Source organism: Homo sapiens, chromosome 7, assembly GCF_000001405.40.
Source record: "Homo sapiens chromosome 7, GRCh38.p14 Primary Assembly".
Lineage (NCBI taxonomy): Eukaryota > Metazoa > Chordata > Mammalia > Primates > Hominidae > Homo > Homo sapiens.
In genome coordinates this window covers 18,150,088-18,169,323 of record NC_000007.14, presented here as the reverse complement: position 1 = coordinate 18,169,323, position 19,236 = coordinate 18,150,088, and the positions used below count along the sequence as shown (strand labels likewise).

The 19,236-nt window shown below is 37.2% G+C and overlaps 1 protein-coding gene across 7 annotated transcripts in view; it reads right to left on the bottom strand.

The window, feature by feature from the left end:
• HDAC9 (histone deacetylase 9) overlaps nt 1-19,236 on the bottom strand; it is a 915,592-nt gene that overhangs the window by 833,093 nt on the left and 63,263 nt on the right. For all 7 annotated transcript variants that reach the window (NM_001321868.2, NM_001204144.3, NM_001321869.2 and 4 more), the window contains exon 2: nt 6,975-7,095. In NM_001321868.2, coding sequence (NP_001308797.1) covers nt 6,975-6,999 — 25 coding nt within the window. In that variant the 5' untranslated portion in view covers nt 7,000-7,095. The remainder of the gene's footprint in view (nt 1-6,974; nt 7,096-19,236) is intronic.

Here is a 19,236-nt window from a genome sequence, read left to right as displayed (position 1 = left end):
GCAGTGGATAAGGAGACAATTAAAATGCAATTACAGTATGTAAGAAAAACAAGTACTTCTATTTTGTTCATAAAAAATACTTTTGCAGGCTGGGTGCAGTGGCACATACCTGTAATCCCAGCACTTTGGGAGGCCGAGGTGGGTGGATCACCTGAGGTCAGGAGTTCAAAACCAGCCTGAGCAACATGGTGAAACCCCATCTCTACTAAATACAAAAAATTTGCCAGGCATGGTGCCACATGCCTGTAATCCCAGTTACTTGGGAGACTGAGGCAGAAGAATTGCTTGAACCCAAGAGGCGGAGGTTGCAGTGAGCCAAGATCATGCCATTGCACTCCAGCCTGGGCAACAAGAACAAAACTCTATTTAAAACACACACACAGAGACACATGCGCGCACACACACACACACACACACACACACACAAAAAAAAAAAAAAAAAAACAAGACATTTGCACCTCCTCAGAACTTGTGATCTTTTAACAATTTTATTTAACACAATTCTTAGCTTTCTAACCCTACAACAAGTTAGAGGCAGTGAATTATAAATGGAGAAAACTGCTATACGTTGACATTCTCAAAATATGACAAAAATTAAGAAATATGCAGAAAACCACAGAAAGTAAAGCCTTGGGGGATATTTAGTGTAAAAGTACAGGTTACATGGTTCCACATACCTTTGTGTTTCCCTAGAGTTATTATAGTACTGCAACACAAGCACACATGCACCACACACGTACACACACACACACAGACACACACACAGAGTTTTTGTACTCTGAAGAGTAAACTCCAATCTATACAGACAAAAAAATCCTCCATAAAGGTTCCACATAATGTTATAAACAAAGGGCTGTACATGTGTATTTGCAGAGGTAGCAAGATTTTGCTTACAGGGCTTAAGAAAATATATAGTCTAGCATTGTTTTATAGTAGTGTTCATGAAAAGATCAGTGTAAAACAAGTATTTATCAACCACTGTATATTTGGCCTAGATTTTCATCATAATACTTAAAACTACAGAGGTGTTGAAAAACGTGACCCCAAAATGCAATAAAGAACAAACATAAGAATTGTGATTATAAAGTTTAAAGTACTTTTTCCTCAGCATATGTGCAATTATAATTTCAGATAAATTGACATTATTTTTAAACACTAATTAAGGACATATAATATTCAGCATACATTTTACTCCCATTTTCTGCAGAGTTCCCACTAACAGGAACTTGAATTTTCTAATAGCTACACTGGGCATTATCTATTCTGCATGATTCATAAACAAAGGCTTAGGCAACTCTTAGAAATGTTGGTGAGCTGATCTGCCCTGATTTTAATGTGTTTCAATCTCTTCAAAGGAAAATTACTTAACTTTTTAATGACTGGTTAAATCAAGAGTGCATTATAAAATACTGCACCTCTTGGTAAGCAATACCGTATCTGCAGTCCTAGGTATAAAATTTTAAGACAAATGTGGTAGAGAGAGGCCAGCTGTTCACCAAACCTGTCTCCTCCTCTTCCTGGAGTACTGCTAGACTACTTTTCCCAGCCTCCTTTGTAGTTAGGTATGGCCACGTGGCTAAATTCCACTCAACGAAATGTGAACAAAAGTGATGTACCTTTGGAAACCTCTCACACTCAATGCACCTCTTCAATTTCCCTCCCACCAGCTTGATGCGGAGATGCACAATGACCTTAGAATACATGAACTGAAGAAGCACAAACCAGTTAGAAGCTGTCCGGGGCAAAGGGTAGCCATTAGAAAAACAGCAGCTCTCTACTCAGTCTTTATATGAACGAGAAATAACCTTTTCTGTTTGGCCTGCATTATGGAGTTTGTTTGTAGTGTTACAATAATGAAAATTATATAAGTTGAATTACCCACCAAAATTAATTGTGAAAAGCAAATATAAAAACAAATAAATGTTCAAAACAAATTTATACTGAACATTTTCAGAAAAGGTTTATGCCTCACTTATTAAAGCACTGTCCTTCAAAAACTAGAGAATGAATAAAATGCTTCATTTGGTTTATGTTTCAAACTTGAATATCAGATTGAGAAGTTTTGACTTACAAATGGCAAAAGAATGAATCACTTAACTGTGAAGTTAAAGTAGTAAAAAAAAAAAAAAATCCAAAACAATAGTTAATAACTTTAACATACAGTGTTTCCCATTAATACCATACCCTGTGATCAACTTCTGCTACAACAAACATCAAAAAACTAATTTGTTTTATTATCCTGGAATAATTTTCTTGAATATTACTTGAAATAGATAATTGGCCAGTGGCCTGAAAATATTTTAGTTATGTAGAGCTACTTGTCATGGGATTTGACCTGTATTTCATTAAAAAGCTAACTGATCATACTCATCTAGGGAAGCCATAACCTATTTGATTTGCCCTAAGACTCTGTTTCATTTAACATTCATTTTTTTGGTAACACACTATGAACAAACTGAAGAAAAAATACCCACTTGGACATTATGATATTTGTTTGTAGCTTTGTCCTGGTTTTAGTTTCCTACTTAATGGCTAAATGGCACCACTGTGGGTAATGCACTGGAGTAAAAATGGTGAATCATTAAAGAGTTCGTAAATTTTAAAAACAGGGGCAGGCCTTCTGGGTCCCATATGCTTCTAAAAAACCTGATGTTGTGCTGTATTAATTGAACCATGAAGCTTTTATTAGTCCTCTTTAAAAATGCTTGCAGAGAAGCTTTTATTAATGCTTGCCCCCAAATTGTTTATACTACTTAGCATTTCCATAACAATTTATATTTCAAAGAACTTTTTGATCATTAGTTACATGTACTCTACATTTCTATGGGGGAATTCAGCTGTTTAGCAAAACAGAGGCATGAAGATAAATCTCTTAATTAATTTTTGCCCAAGACTTGCCAATAAGAAAATGAATAGAATACGAGAAAATGAACAGAATATAAGATCTTGCTATAAACCTTTCACTTCTATAAATAGCTTGGTCCTCTCACTTCATATGAGTAGAGTACTTCCCACAATGGTGAAAAGAGAGATGAGCTAGCTTTATACAAGGGGCTTTGAAAACTAATGTTACAGGACTTTGCAACACAGCTTTGGCCACTTTACCTAGAAGCCCACAAGGCCAGAGCATTGCACAATTCTAAGGGCAACAGGCACATTGTGTTCTATGCTTGGAAAATTCCTTTGGATGCGTTTTCATCAAAATTAATTACAAAAAATAGATTCATCAAATTTAAAAATCATGTTAGGGTTGATGTAGCCCAATTTATTTAAAAACGTTCAGGCTGAAATTAGGTTTTCTATAATCTTGAGATCGGACTAAAAAGCTGCCCTGGGTTAAAATATGCTTAAACTTCTTTTGAGGAAAATAAAGGCACTCCATAAAAATCTCTTTGGTCCATCCACCTCCCCATAAAAATGAGATGGCCTAGATAGACGCAAAGCCACTAGAATGTTCCCCTCAAATTATTGCCTTCTCTAGGTTTCCACTGTGTTAGCTTTCTTTCTTTCTTTTTTTTTTTTTTTGAGACAGGGTCTTGCTCTGTGGCCCAGGCTAGAATGCAGTGCAGTGGCTTCATCATGGCTCACTCACTGCAGCCTTGACCTCCTGGGCTCGAGCAATCCTCCCACCTCAGCTTCCTAAGTAGCAGGGACTACAGGCATGCACCACCATGCCAAGCAATTTTTTAAAAAATTTTTTGTAGAGATAGGATCTCACCATATTGCCCAGGCTAGTCTCGAACCCCGGGGCTCAAGCAATCTTCCCACCTAGGCCTCTCAAACTGCTGGGATTACAGGCATGAGCCACTGCACCTAGCCAGTGTTAGCTTTTTATTTATCTATCATCAGAGAACAAAATAACTGAATTAGCATAGTTTTGCTCACAAGAGAAACATTTACTTGAGATAAGACTTTATGATGTGTTTTTGTGTTTATAGTCTCCAAATATGAAACACTAGTGCTGTTGAATGGACTAAGAGCATTTCTACACTTTGCCAAGTCATAGCAAAGAGCAATATACATTCTACAATCCAGTATCCTTCCCCCAGGCTACCACACGATACTCTTTCAGGGAGGAGTCTGGAAATCTGTATTTTTAACAAGTCTCAGGAGATTTTTACTATCTGACATGTTTTGAAAATGCTAGATAAGTCCTAAAATCCTTCCTTCTGAGATTTGGCAATTCTGATAAAAATTACATTACTAGAAATAGTATCCATACTGCTGTACAGAGGAAATAAATTTCTGGTCCTAAATTTATTAAAATACTTAAGACACTAAATGGACTAAAGCTATTACTATTTGTCTCTCCCATGAAAGGGTGCTGTCCCTAAGGATAGAAACTATGTTTTAGTGCTTGTTGTGTCCCTATTGGGTAACACACTGGCTGGCACAAGTTAGATGCTTAATAAGTTTTGAATGAAGAGCTCAACTGCAGCAGCTAGCTGCCAATCTTATCCAGATAGTCTTTCCTCCATTCAGGATCCTCAGTGCCCAAAAGCAATACCCAAGGCTCTAACTTTGAACAGAACTGGGCAGCAAAATTAAAATAAAAACTAGTAAATTTTATATACAAAAATCAGCACTTATTGTTTGACTGAATGCATGATTAAGACGGCGGCATTTTGTATTTCATATCAACCATATTTGAATATGGATGGAGAACGTTTCTAAGAATGATGTTAATGTATGGGAAAAATAAGAATTCACACTATACCAGAACCAATTTTGAAGACAAACATACTCAGTCTGAAACATGGACTATTAAAGAATTTCTGGAACTACTGAAGTGAGTCTATTTTTCTTTCTGGTGCACAATAACTCCTTAGAGCCATTTGTGGAACAAAAGCAAAATAAATGGATGATGATTGCATAAGACCAATTTAATTCTCTTTTTAGATAGTGGGGAAAAAAGATGTAAGAAAAACATATTTTTTTCTAAATCAAACAATCAGGTTATTTCTCAGAATATATACGGCACCCTAAGATGCAGGCTAATAACAGGAGAAAATTTTTTTTTATGTTTGTGGCAGGAACATTTTCCTTTATCCATGCAAAGTGAATTTCAGGTCTCTGATCATGGTTTTTTACTTGCAATAAATAGAAGAAACTCCTACCCACCTGGCACATTTACTATCACTTTCCTCAACTTCAGATTTCATTCATAAAAACTTCCCAAATGGAGTTGATTGAGACTTCTGCATAATGTTATTGTCAACACAGCAGAATGATTTATAAGAAAAAAGTACACGAGGAAATTTTGGTGACCCTAAAGTCAAGTGAGCTTCATTCAATGGTTGTCTTATTTATCCATCACCTTTTCTCTCCTCATAACTGAACAATTATCACAACTCGCAAGAATTTCCTCATCAAAATAGCAGCTTCAAGTGAGATTTTCATTTTATAAAATCAACATTCTTGGGGAGCAGGGTAGACCAACATCCACTGCCAAATATTATCACAAGAAAAAAATACTTGACCACAGTGGTTCTAAATTAATGCCTCTTTTAAACAATCCAATTTTGAAACACTGAATTTATATACAAATAAATATACATAATATTTAAAATGCAATATACACCTATATAAGGTAAATGTTAATTTAAGTTCATCCCAACAGAAAGAATAATAGTACTAGACTATAATTGTAATAAGCAATGCCGCTCACAGAACACACTTAAACAAGGTTGTCTGTAGAGGCTGGTAGGGGATGGGGTGAGAAATGGGCAGAAGAAGCTAAACCAGTGATTCCCAAAGTGTGGTCCCCAAGCAGCAACAGCATTGTCAAGGGAACTTGTAAAAATCACAATTCCTGTGCCCCACTCTAGACTTACGAAATCAAAAACTATGAGAATAGGGCTTGTTTTAACAAACTCTCCGAGTGATGTCAATGCATGCTAAAGTTTGAGAACCACTAGGCAATAAAGACTCAGAGCTAACAGGCATAAGTAAGTAACTGCCATCTGCCTAACCTAGTGACATGCCAATTATCAAACATGGTTGTGACTAAAGACTCAGGGATTTCTGGACTGCACCATTTAGAATCAAGTTCCAAATTCAGCATACAAGTTGGAGGCCTGTTGGGGATGTGGGGAAAGGTTGATGAAACAGCGGAATTCCCAAACAGCTAACTTGGGTGTGGCAATCCAGGGAATGAAAATCTTGGCAAGTTGTCTCCCTTATAAGCCCTGAGTATGATAGTACATAAGCTTCAACTTAGTTCAATAAACCAAGGATATCAATATGCTAAGGAATCTATAAAGAAATAAATGCTTCTGTAAGTATCCAAGCAGAAAATTCTTGTAAAACTTGTCTGTTACTAGTATGTGGTATCTGACCCTACTTCATCATTCCCAAAACTTGGATTGTGTTTGCTCCAAAAATGACAGCCTGTTCCTGGAGGAACGGGTGTTGGCTGTGCTGATCACAGCACTACATGAGCAGCACACATCACTGGAATAGGAGGAAGCAGGTGCTGAGATTATAATTAAATATGTATATAGGAAACAGGAATGGCAGCAAAGAAGGGTGGGGAGGAAAAATATCCTTCCTGTGTGTCAAAGAGATGGAGGTGGAGTCAATCCACAAACTGACTTCCAAAGCCCCACAGTATAATTTAAAAGCATACAGACACATGTTAGGACAGAAAGATTACAGGTGAAAAATGGATTCCTATATAATAGTTCATATTCATAACTTCATAAAGTTCAATCTGAATGTTACCTTGGAAGCAGAAGAATTAAAGTCCCATGCTCAGACTACAATGCAAATCAAATCAGTTGTCCAGGAAGCAAACTGGGTTAAGCAATAGAGAATTAGCTATCGAATGCAAAATTCAAAATTTGTTACATTAAGCAATCTTTGTCCAAAAAAAAAAAAGTTCCTTCATAAATTAAATTACTTGGTTTGAAACAACACAAAGCAACATCTTTCACATGAAGTCTATTAACAGTTTAAGAAGCAACCAGACTGACCAGGCTGTGCAGGTGAGCTCATCATGAGAATCAGAGGGACTGCTAAGACTAGGATGCAGATTCACAGCCTTTGTCGTTCAACTGCTGACAATGGTCCAGGAGGGGTTGGCAGAGGAGAAACCTAGAACATAAGAAAAATGCAGTGTTTAAGATACAAGCTATATCAAGTCACACTGAAAAAGAAACACAGAGAACTGGCCTTGAGTGTCGACTCAGCCACAGCGCGACCATGTGTCTTTGAGGCAGTCATATCAACCTTACAGGTCTCTAAGTCTTCATCTAAAAAAGAGCAAATTTAGCAGTCTCCCTTATAGCACAGGAATATTGTGAACAGAGAAATAAAATAATAGGTATAGAAGGAATCAGTGAGGGAGAAAGCAATTCACATAATTATAATTAGCTTATTGTTTACTGTTCACTATAATTTGTTTGCTATTATCATTATTATAGAAATAAAAAAGCTTTTTTGGATTTTTGCATATAAGTATCTCATTACATAGCATTTTAAACTATCATTATCAAAGACTTCCTTTTACAGATAGGACCTCTTGGCAAAAAGAAATGTTTAATGGACTAAAAAAAGAACAAAAAGGCCATAAACTATAAGAGTGACAGAAAACTCCCATGATAATTTCCACTTCTTCTTGAGGTCTTTTGTAATCTTGTTCCAGCCCAAAGTAATAGCAACCATAGCCTTTCTAGGAGTCAGACTAACAGGATGGACTTCTTAAAAGGAATTTAAGGGACTTTCTGCTTTTAATTTTAATGTACTTCCACTTCTAGACACTTAGAGGAAAAGCAACTGGAAGGACATTTTCCTAAGAGTTTACTGGAATGTCAAACTTAAGAAAAAAGCAGCAGCTTTTAAAATTACACTTAATGAGTTTCTTACTAAAATAGTATATCCCAATTGCACTATTTTTATAGACAGATGTTGTAACTCTGAGAATTATATACTCCTTTATCTTCAGAATCCAACGTATTTATTGTGACTCGTTTTTCCGTCACTATTTTGAAAGTGTTATTGCTATTTTTGCCCCAATATATAAAGCCAGATATAAATACATATTTTCTTTGAAGAACTTTATAACATCACCAAGAATACCTATAATACTTATATGGTCTCTAAATAGAAATGTGCTATTTAGTTATTCAAACAGCTAAGTAGTGTCATTAGACCTAGCAGGCTACTTCTCATCACATCCTTGGTGCTCAATAAGTATTAAGATTTAATGACAATTAAAATGTACATTTTTATAAATCTCCTTCAAAAATTATATTGATGTGCTGTTTTATTAACATCATCTGAACAGTCTTGATTTCTGTGTCAATGAGAAAGCAACATCTCTACAGAAAGATAAAAATGAAAAGCAAACTTTTTTATTTTTATATCAAGAAATGGACATTCTGACATTAGTTTTAGATAAAAATTGTTCAATGTGATATTTACTATAATAATAATATCACCCTTTGGGAGACCAAGGTGGGTGCATCACTTGAGGTCAGGAGTTTGAGACCAGCCTGGCCAAGATTGTGAAACCCCATCTCTACTAAAAATACAAAAAATTAGCCAGGCATGGTGGTGGGCGCCTGTAATCCCAGCTATTCAGGAGGCTGAAGCAGGAGAATCACTTGAACCCGGGAGGCAGAGGTTGCAGTGGGCCAAGATAGTGCCACTCCACTCCAGCCTGGGCAACAAAAGCAAATCTCTGTGTCAAAAATAATAATAATAATAAATACAAACATTGCTCACACTGTTCTTTATAGTTACAAAGTGCTTTTAGACATGCCACCATATCTGATATTACTTTCATAAGAACCATGCTAATAGATAACTTGTAACTCTCTCCTCTCACCCTGGACCTAATAGGTGAGAAAACTGAGATGCTATCTGCTTCATAATTAAAAGTAAATAAAATAAAAGTTAAATTTACTTGAATTTGAATTTATAGACTATCCTAAATTGACAAGTGTGAGCTTCAAGATTTAGTCATTCTTACTTTTTTACATTGTAGTCTGAAACATTTTGTAAATGCTCTTGATACATTCTTGATTCTCAATGGCACAATTTGATTTTAAATTAAGAATAACGAATAGAAAGCAACAGGAAACCTTTAGAGAATGTAAGTGAAGCAGCTCTGAAAGGTAACTTCCATCAAGGGCATAGTTAGTGTGATTTTTAAAAAATCTTTTTCATCTTTAACGTCACTTTGCACAATTGATACTTGTGTATTTGCAAATATAACTCAAATTTAACCAATAATTTCCAACAATTCAACAGCAGTTAACTTCTCCCACTTATTTCCACAAAAACACACACAACAACTCTCCATGACATGCTGATTTGTGGCTGGGCATGTAATAGTTGGGTTTTGACTTCACAGCTCCAAACCTGAGTTGCAGAGTAAATCTGGGATGGAAATATAAATTTGACTTACAAATATCAAGTCTTTTTTAAAGTTAAACAACTCCCCTTGCCTTCAGTCTTTTTAATAACTGCCTCCACATGACACATTGGTCTAACATTTATGAAAATGTTATCTGAATACTCTTTTAATGAAAATGAATAGGCATTTCTATATTGATATACACTAGTTTCCATTTATTGCATTTCCATTTCCAATAATCCATATTAAACCAAAGTTATCATTACTGCCACAGCTGCACAAGTAGAATATGGTCATTTAAGGAGTTCTCCTAAAATGTTTCAGGGATATGGATCTGCTGTACATATGTGCACATCACATGTATTCATACATCATAGGCTATATATGCTTCCCTCTCCTCACACCCACAAAATCAGATTAGCAGCCTGATCCACACCTTTTAGGGACAAAATTGATATATAATTTTATACAAATTAAGACCACTTTAAGTTGCCTGGAAAAGAAAGAAGGGTCAGTGGTCAACATGTGTTGATGACAATAGGGAACTTATTCTCAAATCTTCCCACACTTCTTTATCCAAATGGGCTGCAGAGTAATAGACTGTTTAGAAGTTCCCCTCATATATTAGTCATTCTTATAAGCCTGAACTAGAAATAATAGGAAACTCGCCTTCAGGTAGGTAGATAACAAAAAAGAATAGAAAAATAATACAAATTGTTTGTAAATACAGATTATCAAAACATGTAATAGAAGTATATCTGCTTCCAATTAATGGTTTCAATGAATTTTAACATGAGTTTCCCCATGCTGTAAAAAACATATACATATTCGTGCACATTTAAGGAGATAAACACAAGTGCAGCAAAAACAACTGCTGCTATGAATCCTTTGTCTCTTAAGATCCAGGAATGGTTATTTTGGTTCTTAACTATATCCCTTGAGCTACATAAATCCACAATAAAAGACTAAGAGTCCTTTGCTTCAAAAAGATCATCTCTGACTACAATTTTGTCAGCTCTCTGAAAGTACGTTACTACTGTAATATATTCAGATGTAGCACGGAGCAACAACTCAAGACAGTGACATCCTGCAGTCTCAGCTTACCCATGCAGCCAGAAAAAAGAGAGGGCACTACCACATTTCACTGTCCCAGCCTATTACTGTCCTTAACATCATACGTAGTGGTCTTCCATAGGTCCTTTAACCATTCCACCTATGTGGCCTTCTCAATAGTAATAGCATCACAAGTCAGCAGAGCTTTATATGTCACAAAGAAATTGCACATGGAGTATCTCTTCTGATCTTCACAACAGCCCTTTGGGTTATACCGAATCAGCTGTTATTATTCCCATTTTACAAACAAGGCATCTGAGGTGTAAAGAGGTTCAGGGATTTGTTTACAGATATGTGGCTGGCAAATGGAGGGCTGATCCTGTAACTCTTAGCCCAGTGCTTTCTTCGCGGCATTGCAAGGAATTACAGACCACTTGAGCAGAGCTGTATGAACATCAAGACATTGCCTATCTACTCATTACAACTTCAGTAATGGCTCATTGAGATACAGGTCTTCTTTACTAAAGGACCTGTCAAGCCATTGAATAGATCAAACTCAGTCACAAAACATGATACAATGAATCCAAAATTTGCCATAAAAGTCTACAAATCAACTCACAACAGAAGCTTTCAAATTTGACTTAGACTTCATGTTCCTTGAACATCACAATAATCATTTTGGTTTTTAACTATACTCTGAGCTTATTACAGTTGTCTTTTTTCCCCACTTTTGGGTAATTAGTATTATTTTGGATAGTGTGCTACTAAAAAAGCAGAACGCTTTTATAGTCTATGTAGGTAACAAAAACCTTGTCTATTTAAATCTGATATATCTTTCTCATGGCTAGGGCAAGCCAAAATGTACAGTTCAGTCTACACAGCCATTCACACTTATCTGCAGGTCCTTCTCTTCTCAAATTGAGACATTAACCATGGTTCCTCCATAGAGTATCCTTCAAAAACTCAGTTTATCACAATCACTATACAGATCATTTATTGGTGGGAAATGCTTACTGTGCCAACACGTTGAACACCAAGAGATTCATCAGATCCTCAGTCTCTCTCTCTCTCTCTCTCTCTCTCTCTCTCTCTCTCTCTCTCTCTCATGCCTTAGAACCTGAAATTCTGCTGTAATTTCAACTTTGGAGAAAAGCATTAGAAAACCGCTCTTAACATTGTGTTCAATTCAACAACCCTTACTGAGCACATACAAGACACACTGTTACCCAATATGGAAACCTTAGATTCTATTTCATTTCTCTGTTTCTTGCTTTTACCATAGACAGTCACCAGAGTCAGAACACTGACCTCTTAAAAATATCTTTCTTATCTGAATCCTCCTTTCCATTTCAATTAATACTGCCTTAGCTCAATTAATTGTTTGTTCTTGATTGGATTCTTAATCTAGTCTTCTATCTGGTATCCCTGCCTCCAGGGAATGTATAAATAAATGAATGAGTCAGTAACTACAATTTGGTGACACACAGCTCCTTAGTTGGTATTCAAGTGCCTTCATAACTGGTCTCCTTTCATCCCACTTTTTCTTCTTCCTTCTTTCCCTCATGTATAACCCCTATGGTTTCAGGCAATCTGTGATTACTCCTAGAGTGATGTTCAACATTATTAGCTACTACCGAGGCACAGGCTACTCAGAATGAACACCTGTATAAGCACTGGTGGAGCCTTACTAAAACATATCAGCTGACTATGAGTCCTGACTATTCCTGCACAGTATCATTCGCGTGTCCATGCTTTTGTGTCTCTGTCTGCAAAGGATACTATTACCTTTTCTGCATCTCCCACCTTGAATTCTTGGGGTTTTTCTGGTTGGTTGGTTTTTGAGATAGGGTATCAGTTTGTCTCACGTGATCACAGCTCACTGCAGCTTCAACCTCCGAGGCTCAAGTGATCCTCCCACCTTAGCCTCCTGAGTAGCTGGGACTACAGGCGTGTGCCACCACGCCCACCTAACATTTTTACTTTTTTTATAGAAACAATTTATCCCTATCGTCCTGCCTCAGCCTCACAAAGTGCTGGGATTACAGGTGTGAGCCACCACACCCAGCCGTATCTTGAATTCTTTAAAGCCATACTGAAATGAGAATTCTTAGCCAACCACTCCAAGTAAAAGATCAGCTTTCTCATCTCTGTTTCCACTGTATCTTGTACCATACCCATAATAACATCACATATGTTAGACAATAATAATGTATCTTATGTTAGTGGAGTACTTTCATCCATGATGAGACTATGTTCTTCAGTTCAGGGACTGCACTACATTCATCTTTGTAACCCCCACACCTAGTAGAGTACCTGATACATGGCAGGTACACAATAAGTTCCTGATGAATAAGTGAGCAGGCAGTAAGAACTTGACCAATGATTCTGTAGTTATGCAACTTTGAGGCAGAATCACTTATCCAGTTTGTTAGTATAGATTTCTGAAGGACTAGAACATAGTCCTTGGATTTGGATCAGAGAAAGAAAGAAAAATATCCTTGAGATGGGCCACCATCTAGAAAGGGCAAACCCAGGTGGGATGGGTGCCTTCATGGGTTGGGAAGACACCAGACATCCCCAGACCTTGCCCATGAAATATGTTGACCAAGATAGGGTCACTTCCCAGGCTTTTCAATTGAAGTAATTTCTTAGCTCATTGAAAGGATTCCGTTTCTCTCTCACCTTATTAGCCTCAGCTTTTTTTCCCCAAGGACATCCATCTTTTTATTAGACAAGCTCTATAAACTCAAGTTGGCCTCAAAACAATCAAACCACTTATTCATGAAGACAGGGGAACATGGGATACAGAGATGTAAGGATACTCGTTTCCCTTCAACTTTAAGTAGCAGAAGCAGGACTGTGCTCACAGTGCTCCTGATAATATTTATGTTGTCCTGAGGAATAGAATGATGAGAGTCTAGGACTCTGGGGGTTCTGGGGACTGGGAAGCTGATGGGCACAAGCAAGAGCCACATCAGCAATGCAGTCGGTGATTTAACCTTCCCCAATACCGTAACAGACACCTGCTGCTCTGATTCACCAAACATGCTGGCAAAGACTGGCATATCAATTACTTTTGGCTCATTCTGGACTCTGGGGAGTTATCTATGCAAGACTATTGGTTTCACTCCCCACCTGCACTGCCAAAGGTTTGCTGACTTCACCCTTAGAGTATCTAGGAGCAGAACATGTCACCCAGAAGGCCACACATCTAACACACAGTCTCTGTGCTTACATTTTAAAAGCAAATAATAAGCTCCATTCTAAGACTTTTAGGAGAACCATTTAAGAACAGGCTACATTGTTGGGTGTAATATAGAGCAGGGAACGCAGCTTGGGAGGTTAGTTATGCATATATTTTGCATATTTAAGATAAGATTCAGTAGTCTATACTATAAATATAACTCAATGGTAACATCTAAAAATACATAACATAATCAGGAATGGTCTGCTGGATATTGCATTTCATAAGAAGAAATCTTGCCAACTACAGTACCTGCACTAATAAAAACAGACCTTTTCGTAGTAAGCCTTGATTTTTAAACACTGGGCTTAGCCCCAGGGTATCCAGTACCCAACCCATATTCCAAATGCCTCTACATCATAAAGATCATTTTATCAAAAAGTCTTACTGCACTGATTTTTATTGGATCATCTTTGAAGGCCCTATCTGCAACTCCCCTCCTTGGACAATAGGGAGTCACAGTCACCATTATCACCAATTTGAGTTTAAAAGGAGACTCACAATGCCCAGAAACTGCAGGATATACAGGCTTCTTTTCAGTCATGGCAAAGAGGTTGTTAAAAAAAAAAAAAGAAAGAAAGAAAGAAAGAAAAAAAGCTTTGTCTACCTGTAAATACACACTGGACAGAAGTCCAAAATAGAATTGTGAAAAGGAAGTAATAGTCGAAGTGAAGGAACTTGTAACAGACAACCTCTGATACCTGTGCAGCAGGAGGGCTTTGTAACTCACACGCTATAACCTTCCCTGCAGAAAACTGCCGACCAAGCATGTTGAAAAGAACCCGTCTCCCCTGGTCTACTACCTCACCTGCGTGGAGGCATGGGTTATGATCAGCTAGCCAAACACAAAAGACCTTTAGCCATCATTGTAATTAAGAGTGATATGATTCTCTTTTTCAAGCTTCAATATTGTGTACATTTTTTAAAATTCTGTGATTTCTTTAATCACATTTCTTTAATGCTGCAACTCAACTCTTGAAGATCTGATAATCCCCACGTTGAGCAAAGTGCTCTTGTAAAATGTTTCACTAGCTAGGCGGTCTGGAAGTCAATTAACCTCTCTGAGCCTCAGTTGCTTAAACATGAATTATTTAACTTATGAGGTCATTGTGAGGCTTGAAGGAAATAAATGTAAAGTAATCATTGGTAAGGTGAAGGTGCTCAAAAACATTGGCTGTTATTATCATTACAGAAATTTTATTTTACTTCAGGCCAAATTTCATCCCAAGAGAAAACAGTGACACATAGTGCCTCTCACTGTGGCACAGAGTCCTGCAGCACAACTATTCATCTTTCTCACTCCACTAGGGTTACAGCAGGTATCTAATTACTAAAGCTTTTTTTCATTCTTTTTCTTTCTTTTAGAAGGCAAATGTGTACTCTAAGGAAATATACTGTGCTATCCTTTGCTTGTGAATATACCATGTTTACTTTAATCTTTCACTCGTGTTAGCTATATAAAAAAATCACTTGGATGTTAATAGAAAGAAAAACATTCGAATAGAAAAAAAAACTGTAAGTTAGAAACAAGTATCATTTTATAGAAATGTGAAGGGAAGCATGAAGTCTATTCCCCGGATATTGTATAGATCTTTCTATACAGAACTTGAATATGTTTTAACAGATTGGCTTGGGAATTTCAATAGACCTTAAGGTCCCTCTATTTTGGGAAGGATATCACTGATCGTTTTACTCACTGTTCTACCTGTTGCTAGCAGTCCATACAATTTTAAGCCAGCCAAGACACATCTCTAGGCACAAGCAGATGTGCCCCTCAGGTGAAGAAGTGATAACAGAAAATACCCACACAATGTAGAAGGAAACCAGTATGAGTCTTAAGTCACCAGGGCCATTGCCCAAAGATGTGAGGTACATGGCACCCTCCCCAGCCAAGACCCACATTGGCACTGATTCTGTTTACTCCTTATCCCTCCATCTGAGGCAGGAGAATAGGTTCTAGAGGCAGGGACCCTAAAGCCGATTTGCACTGACTTCCTAGAACTAAATCAAAAGGAAAACCCCAAGTTTCCATGCTCAAGTAACGAAAGGACCAAAGGCTACTCCCTTTGCAACCCTCCCCACCTTTTTCTGCAGGGCAGATGAGGAATTGAAAGTACCTCTAATTGGACCCCTCCCACAACCAATCAGGCTGGTAGAGGGCCAAGTCTTCATTTGTACAGAACTTTATAACTTCACTTCAGCCTCTGATTGGTCACTTTCTGCAACCAATCAGACTGGTCGTGGGCTGCTACTTCATTTACATAGGGTGTATATCAAGTAACCAATGGGAAACCTCTAGAGGGTATTTGACCCCAGAAAATTCCATAACAGGGCTCTTGAGCCCCTATGCTCAGGCCACTCCCACCCCGTGGAGTGTACTTTCATTTTCAGCAAATCTCTGCTGTTGTCACTTTATTCTTTCCTTGCTTTGTCTGTGCGTTTGGTCCAATTCTTTTCACCGCTAACACATCTGTGACCCTCTTTTCTACTAGGTTTCTCCAGAATCCCTTGCAATTGATTAGGCCACTGGTTATTTGGCCCCTTTCCAAAGAACTTACCTTCACTAATGAGTTGAACCAACCTCATCTCCCATCTTTATCTCCATCTCCTCCTCCCCTTCCAAAGAACCCTACTTTATACCTACAACTAACTTCAATTCCGTCCCTCTCTGGTTCTTTTCTAGCCAATGCTGTTCCTTTGTCTACAGAAACTTCCTTGTGAAAACACACCAATACACCTAATTTAGGATACACCTAAATTTCCAGAATACACCAATTTGTAAAAAATGAATCATATCAGATATTGTTCTTTGAACTTCACCCTATAATTAGTATTGACTTTTCTAACTTACACAAACTTTATATTCAAGTTAAGAACAATCCAAGTTCATGCTATGGAACCTTGTGGGCTATATTTTGCACAGGAGCAAGTTAGCTCTGCTTGAATGTAACATGTACTTATTGAGTGCTTGCTATGAATGTTCAGAGCTGGGGGAGTTGTTCAGATAGCTCCTGTCTCCCAGATTTCATACCAGTGATTTCTCAGAGTACAGTCCAAGAACCCCTCAGAAAATGCAGATGCAGACACTCAGGACTTATCTGAGACCTTCTGAATCAGAATCTTTAGGACAAGGGCCCAGAAACAGCATTTTAAACAAGTTTCCATGGTGATTCTTAACTAAGCTAAAGTATGAGAAGCACAAGAGAAACAACATATGCATATGAACAATTAAGAAACAAAATAACAAACATATATAGAGAGCAGAACAAGGAAAAGAACCCTGACTTTGGAGTCTGGCTGACCTTAATGCAAATTCCAATTGCCGTATTTTCACAGGCAAATTATTTACCATTCTGACCTTCAGTTTCCTCACTGGTAAGTTGCTGGCTCTAATAGTTACTTGCAGGGTCACTAGGGATGAGTGATAATATATTTAAAATACTTAGCATACTGCTCAATATATGTGAGACATTATGACATTCAGGGCCTCTGTGTTACAAACTGCCCCTCAAATTGTGAAACACTGCAGCCCTGATAGCTATTTTCTTTAAAAAAAAAAAAATGGGACAGCACAAGTGCTACAGGAATTAGGAGTAGGGAGTTCTCACTGTGATTAGAGGTAGAAGGGAAGATACATGAAAGAGCTGGTGCACAGCTTTAGGAGACTGAAATTTATTCAAACATGCATGGGTGGTAAAAATGTCCTCCTTTCCCAGAAGTTCTCCAAGTCATAGCTACTACGCTCAGTGAATTGTAAACAATTGCAAGAAACAATTTAAAAATTACCTTGCTGTGTCCTTCAACTATTCTGTGAATTAAATGATCTATTTTTATATTCCTCATATCATAAAACATTTCCACTGTCAAAATTATCCTCAAAATTATCTCAAGTTTTATGCTAGTAACATGATGATAGTTTGTTGTATGTAGCACATTCCATTCCCAAGGAGATAGTGGAATTTTATACAGACAGCTTCACAAATATGCCATCAGTTATTTATACACAAAATGATAGTACTGACCTCCTGCCAGAAGAGGGAACTCTGGGTTACTATACTATGATTACAGTACAATATAGGCTGCAGCTTTTCTATCATCTCTTCGAAGAACCATGTGAAAGATGTCTAGTGAGGATCAAGGAGGCTGCAAAGACATTCACCTGCTCCAGGAAACTAACTGGCCCATGAGAGGATAAAGCCTCTTAATGATCCCATCAGTAAAACAGGCTACTTGATTAAGCTAACTCACTCAGAACCAATCCTATTAAACCTCATTATTCCTGTGAAGAATCAAAAGTATCTGCAACTCCATCTCAACAAATGGAGTAAAGTTTCAAATGATAAAACCTGAAAAAACAAGGTAACAATTACTAAGTATATAATTACAGTGTCAGAACTCAAAACAAACTCCGCACTCAATCCACAAGACATCTATTCCCCCTGAGTGAGAAAGCCACCTTTGAAACTGAAAATCTATATAAAAACAAGGGGACCAAAACAATTCATTTAATTGAAGGCAATTTCTATTATTTCTATTAATGTCATATAGGGGAAGAGATACAGCCTTTGCTTTTATATTCCAGTTCTGCAAAAAAAAAATGCATATATATATGCATGTATTAAAATAGACTGAGACAGATTAACACATATAAATAGCTCAATCCAACATCTGTAGCAGCCCTTTAGATTGTATTAAAGTCCTAGCTGTTTATCAGGCTGGTAAATCATATCAGCTCCTAGTTATTTAAATTGCCAGTTTCCAGGCAACCATTTCTTTTTGTCAACTGTCACTCACTCTTAAGTTCCTCTGCAATACTTCCTTAAGAAAAAAATAGTGAAAAAATCTTGACACACTTATTTTGGGCATAAAAGATGCACTTAATTTTATCTCTGATCTTCAAGAGTCTGAGAATCGAGTGATATTGGGAAAATAAAACCTGTTTAGTGAGTTGGAGGAGTAGCAGTGTTGGAACAGAGAGTGATGTGGATGAATACCCAGACAGAAAAGTTGTGGGACTTTGCTAAAGTAAGGGTCCCTTTTGGGACCTGGCTCACAGTAGAGGTATGTTTGTGACAAAAGCCTTACAATAGAAAATATGCACTCCAGAGATAAGAGAAGATTCTCAGCAAAATTGATGTCCAGTTATTATTTTTATAATCATGCTTTTCAAGGTAAGGCAGAGTCCCTTAGCCAACGAAGATAATATTGCAGTGTGTATGCAATTCACTTTGTCAATACAAGCGCTTCTAGAATCGCCATTCCCTGTCTCTCTGGACATCAGTTTCAGACCAGATCATCTCTAAAGTTTTTGCTAGCAATAACATTTTATAAACCCATCACTCTTTAAATTACACAGTTCTCAATTGCGGCCTATATAAAACTGGACCAACCTAATAAATCAGACTGTTTTGTTGCTACATCTCAAAAAAAAAATAGAAACATATATATCTAGATACAAATAAAATTATTTCAATGTATAATGGTGCTCTTTATTTAAAAATGAAGAGGGATATCTTACTTCAAGTAGGAAATGGCAGAACGTGCCGACTTTGAATTAAAATATTTGTGCACTTAAAAA